The 8,547-nt window shown below is 40.4% G+C and overlaps 1 annotated feature.

The window, feature by feature from the left end:
- Positions 6,416-6,465: an enhancer, noted in NCBI's record as "active region_6037". NCBI's record gives its function as "activates an Ori minimal core promoter by ATAC-STARR-seq in GM12878 lymphoblastoid cells {active_cell/tissue: GM12878}" and the evidence as "EXISTENCE:reporter gene assay evidence [ECO:0000049][PMID:35858748]".

Consider the following 8,547-nt stretch of genomic DNA (forward strand, 5'->3'; position numbering starts at 1 on the left):
ATTCTATGAAGCCAACATCACTCTAATACTAAAACCAGAAAATGATATAAGCAAAAAAAAAAAAAAAAACTACAGACCAATATTCTTGATGAACTTAGACACTACAATCCTTAACAGAATACTAGATAACTGAATCCAGTGACATATCAAAAAGATAATCCACCATGATCAAGTGGGTTTTGTACCAGGGATGCAGGGATTCAGAATATATGCAAGTCAATTAATGTGATACACCACATAAACAGAATTAAAAACAAAAATCACATGATCATCTCAAGATGAAGAAAAAGCATTCAACAAAATTCAGCATCCCTTTATGATTACAACTCTCAGCAAAATCAGCATACAAGGGACACACCTCAATGTAATAAAAGCCATCTGTGACAAACCCACAGCCCAGATAATACTGAATGGCAAAAAGTTGAAAGCATTCCCTCTGAGAACGAGGAACAAGACAAGGATGCCCACTCTCACCCCTCCTCTTCAACATAGTATTAGAAGTTCTAGCCAGAGCAATCTGACAAGAGAAAGAAATAAAGGGCATCCGGGCCGGGCGCGGTGGCTCACGCCTGTAATCCCAGCACTTTGGGAGGCCGAGGCGGGTGGATCATGAGGTCAGGAGATCGAGACCATCCTGGCTAACAAGGTGAAACCCCGTCTCTACTAAAAAAATACAAAAAATTAGCCGGGTGCGGTGGCGGGCGCCTGTAGTCCCAGCTACTCGGGAGGCTGAGGCAGGAGAATGGCGTGAACCCGGGAAGCGGAGCTTGCAGTGAGCCGAGATTGCGCCACTGCAGTCCGCAGTCCGGCCTGGGCGACAGAGCGAGACTCCGTCTCAAAAAAAAAAAAAAAAAAAAAAAAGAAATAAAGGGCATCCAAATCAGTAAAGAGGAACTCAAACTGTCACCGTTTGCTGATGATATGATCATTTACCTCGAAAACCCTAAAGACTCCTCCAGAAAGCTCCTAGAACTAATAAAAGAATTTAGCAAAGTTTCTGGATGCAAGATCAATGTACACAAATCAGTAACTCTTCTATACACTAACAGCGACCAAGTAAAGAATCAAATTAAGAACTCAACCCCTTTTACGATAGCTGCAAAAAAAAAAATCAAATACTTAGGAATATACCTTACAAAGGAAATGAAATCCCTCTACAAGGAAAACTATAAAACAGTGCTGAAATAAATCATAAATGACATGAACAAATGGAAACACATCCCATGCTTATGGATGGGTAGAATCAACATTGTGAAAATGACCAAACTGTCAAAAGCAATCTATAAATTCAATGCAATTCCCATCAAAATACCACCATCATTCTTCACAGAATTTTTTTAAAATTATAAAATTCACATAGAACCAAAAAAAAAAAAAAAACCCCACATAGCCAAAGCAAGACTAAACAAAAAGAACAAATCTGGAGGCATCACACTACCTGATTTCAAACTATAGTATAAGACCATGGTCACCAAAACAGCATGGTACTGGAATAAAAATAGGCACATAGACCAATGAAACAGAATAGAGAACCCAGAAATAAGCCCAAATACTTTAAGCCAACTGATCTTTGACAAAGCAAACAAAAACATAAAGTGGGAAAAGGGCCAGGCACGGTGGCTCATGCCTGTAATCCTAGCACTTTGGGAGGCTGAGGCGGGCAGATCACTTGAGCTCAAGAGTTAAAGACCAGCCTGGCCAACATAGTGAAACCCTGTCTCTACTAAAATACATGGTGGCAGGCACCTGTAATCCCAGCTACTTGGGAGGCTGAGGCAGGAGAATCACTTGAACCCAGGAGGCAGAGGTTGCAGTGAGCCAAGATCACACCACTGCACTCCAGCCTGGGCAACAGAGCCGGACTCTGTCTCAAAAATAAAATAAAATAGTGGGAAAAGGACACCCTTTTCAACAAATGGTGCTGGGATAATTGGCTAGCCACATGTAGGAGGATGAAACTGGATCCTCATGTCTCACCTTATTCAAAAATCAACTCAAGATGGATTAAGGACTTAAATCTAAGATCTGGAACTATAAAAATTCTAGAAGATAACATTGGGAAAACCCTTCCAGACACTGGCTTAGGCAAGGATTTCATGACCAAGAACCCAAAAGCAAATGCAATAAAAACAAAGATAAATAGCTGAGACCTAATTAAACTAAAGAGCTTTACACAACAAAAGGAACAGACAGCAGAATAAACAGAAAACCCACAGAGTGGGAGAATCTATACATCTGACAAAGGACTAATATCCAGAATCTACAACAAATTCAAACAAATCAGCAAGAAAACAACAAACAATCCCATCAAAAATTGGGCTAAGGACATGAATAGACAATTCTCAAAAGAAGATATACAAATGGCCAACAAACAGATGAAAAAATGCTCAACATCAGTAATGATCAGGGAAATGCAAATCAAAACCACAATGTGATACCACCTTACTCCTGAAAGAATGGACATAATCAAAAAAATCAAAATTCAACAAAAAAGTAGATGTTGCCATGGATTTGGTGATCAGGGAACACTTCTACGCTGCTGGTAGGAATGTACAGCCACTATGGAAAACAGTGTGGAGATTCCTTAAAGAACTAAAAGTAGAACTACCATTTGATCCAGGAATCCCACTACTGGGTATCTACCCAGAGGAAAAGAAGTCATTATACAAAAAAGATACCTGCACATGCATGTTTATAGCAGCACAATTCGCAATTGCAAAATCATGGGACCAACCCAAATGCCCATAAATCAACGAGTGGATAAAGAAACTGTAGTGTGTGTGTGTGTGTGTGTGTGTGTGTGTGTGTATGTACATATATATATATATATATATATATATATGTACATACACACACACACACACACACATATATGATGAAATACTACTCAGCCATAGAAGAGAATGAATTAATGGCACTCACAGTGACCTGGACGAGATTGGAGACTATTATTCTAAGTGAAGTAACTTAGGAATGGAAAACCAAACATCGTATGTTCTCACTGATATGTGGGAGCTAAGCTATGAGGACACAAAGGCAGAAGAATGATATGATGGACTTTGGGGACTTGGAGAGAAGGATGGGAGTCGGGTGAAGGATAAAAAACTACAAATAGGATGCAGTGTATACTGCTCGAGTGATAAGTGCACCAAAATCTCACAAATCACCACTAAAGAACTTACTCACATAACCAAACACCACCTGTTCCCCAATACCCTATGGAAAAAAATTTTAAAAAAATAAACAGCTATAGTTGGAAAAAAAATTCCATGAAAAGCATCTACAAAACTATGCCCCTTCCCCATTCCCTAACACTTCTGTAACAAAAATGGTTAGAACTAGTATCTACTTTTGTCACTAAAAATTAACTCCTTGGTTTATATTCCTACCCTATCCTAAAATGTTGAAAAGATACTATCTTTTGCCCAAAATTGTATGCAGTTCCTTTTTTACCACAACTATATATGGAATTATCGGTAGATTCTAAAAGAATAGATGTGTGTGTGTCTTCTGTTTTTGTGACAATTGCTACCTTTGATGACAACCAGAGTACACACAGGACAGACTTTTCTTCTTTCACAATAATGATAAGAATCATAAAGTGTGCAAAAGGTGTGTTGAAGAAGAAAATGCAATTTTCATGTTTTAATTAGTGGTGATCCAAAGTCTGGCATGGCTCAGACATGAAGTAGACAGCATGTGGAATGGAGAGGCATGAAGATCAGTGAGCTACGATCCTGGAGTCCAGGAATGTACAGCCTGTGAGGGAAGACAGATGTGTAAACTGCCAACTGCAGCACAAGGTCAAAGGCAGCAAGTATTTCATCACGTTATAAGCTGTGTAGGATAGAGAACACCTGACCAAATTACACAGCTATTAGAAAGGAGAACTATTTTGACATTTTAAAACAAGAAAGTCAAATTTATTTTAAATGACAACCTGATTCTGCATTGCATTGTGTATATCTTGTTCTTTATAAAAGTAAGACATAAAGCATTAAGAGTAACTCAGAAGTCACAGTATTTTCATGTCTAGGTCTCCCCACAATGGAATTGCATAAAGTTGTGGGTGTTCATTGCTTTTCAGTTTTTTCAGGAGGGGGATGGGCAATCTAACCTCCCATCTGCCCTAGATTGTGCAGTGCTTGAGGGAACTGTAACTTTTACTGTCTATTTCTAATTTCCAACAATGCCTAGCATATGAACAATATTTGATTTCCTAATGAGAGATTAGTATTATATGGTGACAGGCCTCAGCTTATAAATTAGCTATTTTGAAGGTGCTATTTAAATTCTGTGGATTAAAACTCAGAGGACCTTTTCCCACAGAAATACAACTATCATTGATAACAAGTTTCCTAGGTTAGACTCTTCCACCCCACCTCCAAAAACGGATCCAGTAATGTACACGCAGAATAACTTTGTGCTGGACAATTAGCACCACGAAACCTAATCTACTTGGATACCCACATCTCTCTCTGCTAGCATTCAGCTCAGATGCTTCCCTGCCACTTCTCCATCCTCACTTCCACCTACTGAGCAGTGCAAATGCAGGACTTTGTTCATTCCAAGCCACTCTTAATAACTGCCAGAGTACAGGACAGAAGATGGCATGAGGGCTGGGCCTCATTCATTCGTTTATTCACCAAACAAATATTCTTGAGCACATAAAATGTGTTCATCACTATTATGGTTGGGGATAGAACAGCAGATGAAACAGACATAGTTTCTGCCTCATGGAGCTGGCATTCTCATGAGGGAGAAGCTTTTTAAGTAAATTTTAAAAATTGCAGTTGTGGTAAGAGCTAGAAGGCTATCAAAGGGCTGAGCCTGAGGCTAAAAGTGGGGACGAGGAGCTGCAGGGCTCAGGAAAGTCTCCTGTGAGAGGTGGCATTCACATTGAGCCCTGCAAAATTACCTCCCAAATGAGTGTCACCTGTATGGGCAACAAGGGGGACCCTAAAAAGTACATGAGAAAATAAGGCCCTGTTCTGCTCAAATCAGTGGGACCTGGTCCTTTCTGACCCTCAGGGAAGTCTAGAAAACACATGACTTTTCCAATCTCACCTAAATAATTAAAATGTCTCAGTCTTTTAAGTCACTTAAATCACACTATGCCCCCATTTCAGTAATTAAAATGACTGTTTCTACCAGACATTCAAAGAAGAATTGGTACCAATCCTTTTGACACTATTACAAAAGATAGACAAAGAAGGAACCTGCCCTAATTCATTCTATGAAGCCACCATCACTCTAATCCTAAAACCAGAAAAGGATATAAGCAAAAAAGAAAACTACAGACCAATATTCTTGATTAACTTAGACACTACAATCCTTAACAGAATACTTACATACTTATTTTGTGCCAAGCCCTAGGCTGTATGCTAGAGGTACTAAAATAAATAAATGATCCCTTCACCCAAAAAGCTCCTCTTCTAATTGACAAACAACTCATACGCAATTGCAATTGATTGTACTAGATCTACAATCTTAGCTAAACTACTTTGTCTTTCTTCGTTTCACTGTCCTTGTCCGTAAACTGGGGACATTAACAGGGCTTACTTCACAGGCTTGTGAATATTTAAAAAGGAAATATTAGTAAGGACCCTAAAACATAAAAAATGCTCAATTATCTTTTTTAAACAAATAGTCCTGTGTAACTGTCAAAATTCTACACTTCAAGCATATATAAAAGTAGAAAGAATTATGCAATGACCACCTTATATCCATCACCTAGATTTAAAAGAATTTAACAACCAGTATGGCTACACTGGTATGTACACGATAAGGACTGGTTCTGCATCCAGGTTAAAGGATGCAGAGTGGAAGGTAAGGGCAGGAGGTCAGTGAGGCCAAAGTTGTGCTCATCACATATTCCACGTCCTCCTTTCCTTCATATCGAGCTTTCCTAACAGTTAGGTTTGGGCCAGATGAGTTATTCTGGCCAGAAACTGTCAGTGGAAATGACATGTAACTTCTGAGTCAAGAAAGTTAGGAAATGACATGCCTCCTCCACTCCCATCCTCCCCTGCATGAGATAAAGGAGGGCATCCTCACCTGCACTGACTGTGTAGACACAAATAAAGCCAGTACGGTGTTAAGCCACTGGGATACGGGGCTAATCTGTTACCAGAGCCAGCTCAGCTAACTGCACCATAAACAGGGAAGGCCTGATTTGACTGGTGCTGCTGTGAGCTGGTGTGGTGTTCTCTGGGGCTGGCAAGCGTTAAAGACACTTCTCGGTGGCATTTTCGTGAGCATTTCAGAGATACTCCCACACACCACTGGAGGTCGCTTACCTGCAGTTCCCTTGAAGCAGGAAATGCATCTCCACAGATGGGTCGCTAATATTTCCTCCTTTGGTGTTTAGACACCTGATGTCACACTTTCTGCTGTGGTTTCCTGCCCCTTCCAGGTGGTCCTCTCAGGCAGTATAAAACAAAATCCCAGGGCAGCTTTCTCTCCCAGCATGGCTCATATCTGGTACACATATGATCCATAGAAAACACTCTCTCATCCTTTTACTCTAACATACTCTGCTCCCAACCCACCAGGCTCCTGTGTGAGCCACCTCTCCCTGCTCGGCCAGCCTAGCAAGCAGCTCCGGCCACTTACCTTTATGTCTCACAAGCAGGAGGCAGAAGCAGCTACAGTGTTTCCACCATAGCCCCTAACTACCCTTGAATGAGGAATAAGCCCCTCAGTCCTCCCCACTGCTGAGGTGGGCAGCCTGTTAAGGCATAGAGCACCAGTCCTTACACCCTGCTTGGGAGTCTTGGCACCTCATTTCAGAACACGGAGATCCTTTTGACCTATTCTTTTCAGGCCTATTATCAACCTACTTTTTCAGGTCTCAGGTAAAACAAAGACAAAAAGAGTCCCGTTTTTACACCCTGTTACACCAGGATCATCCAGAATCCCCTTTCTTAAGCTGGTGCTACATCAAGATAGGAAAAAAGGGACTAGAACTGCCAGAGAAGAGGGCAGCACGGCATTCCTCCACTGAGTCTACACCCTTTATTGAGAAGGGTGCTGGCTGCAGAGGGCTGAATTAGGCAAACAAGCCACCACTGCTTTCGTGTCCCCTGCAGGAAGATGTAAGGGACAAGCGATAGACAGACAGCAAATTATCAAGAGAGGCTTGGAGAGAGAAGAGTGATATAAAGAAAACAAAAACGGGCTACACTCATGGTGTGTGCACTCAAGTGACATGGGGAGGGACTAACAGAGAGTAGGAAGTCAGATGACCTATCCGTGAATGTATCCATCTCAAGGAACAGACCAATAGGGTCTATGATATTATATAACATATAGTATATAACATATATACACATTATATATAAGTATACACATAAAATATATAATGTGTGTATATACATTGTATATATGTGCATGTGCATATGTATGTGTACATATATACATACATGTATACATGCATATATAATCTGCATATATTTATATGTAATATTGATACATAATATTTATATGTAAAGAGATAGGTAGCAAGCTGCATATATGAGTATGGAGCTCAGGAAAGATATCAGACTAAAGGTACACATATGGGAGTCATCAGCATATTGAGATTAAGCAATAGAACGCAACTAAACTACATATGATTACAGAAGGAGAGAATCCAAATAGAAGAGAATCAAGAGCCTAGAACCAAGCTTGTGGTCATTCCAGCTTTTACAGCTAAATTTGAGGACTAGTGAACTCCTGTGGTAAAGGGAAGGACAATAACCAGATGAGGAAATCCCAAGTCAAGGAGAAAAGCAGGCTTTTTCAGGCTACCAGCCGGGGCAGCCTTCCTCAAATGGATATTTGTTCATAAAGGTTACTAATAAATCAAGTTGGTGATGGCCACTATTAGACGTTCTCCTCAATATTTTTTAAGTCAATATGGGCCCCACTCTTAAGGAACTCTTTTAAATACAAATGCCAGAAATGTTTACACCAGCATTTATACTTCTATGGATCAACAATCCTATCAATGAAGGGGTTCTCCCTGCTTTAGAAAAGAGAAAGCACTTTTGCTTTGGAAAAAGAGAAGGCACTGTTCCCTTCCTGAATGACTTGGCTCTAAAAATGCCCAAATATCAAAGGACCCTATTGTTCCACCCTGGCAAGTGTTGGGGTAAGGGAGATAGAGTGCTGGAGTGGGGTGGGGTGGGGGGAGTGAGGAAGAGGACAAATTAAAATGATGTTTCTTAGAAGTTCCATGAAATCAGAAATACGAGGAAGGTGAAAAACAATGAGTGGCCAGATTACTTCTACAAGTGGGGAGGGAGGGCAGTCTGAAAAGGCTGCTTTAAGAATATGAGTCTGACAATAAAATACTGGCAACCAGATCCAGCAGCACATCAAAAAGCTTATCCACCACAATCAAGTCAGCTTCATCCCTGGGACACACGACTGGTTCAACATACACAAATCAATAAACATAATCCATCACATAAACAGAACCAACGACAAAAACCACATGATTATCTCAATAGATGCAGAAAAGGCCTTCGACAAAATTCAACAGCCCTTCATGCTAAAAACTAA

This window comes from Homo sapiens, chromosome 12 (genome assembly GCF_000001405.40).
Source record: "Homo sapiens chromosome 12, GRCh38.p14 Primary Assembly".
Taxonomy (NCBI): domain Eukaryota; kingdom Metazoa; phylum Chordata; class Mammalia; order Primates; family Hominidae; genus Homo; species Homo sapiens.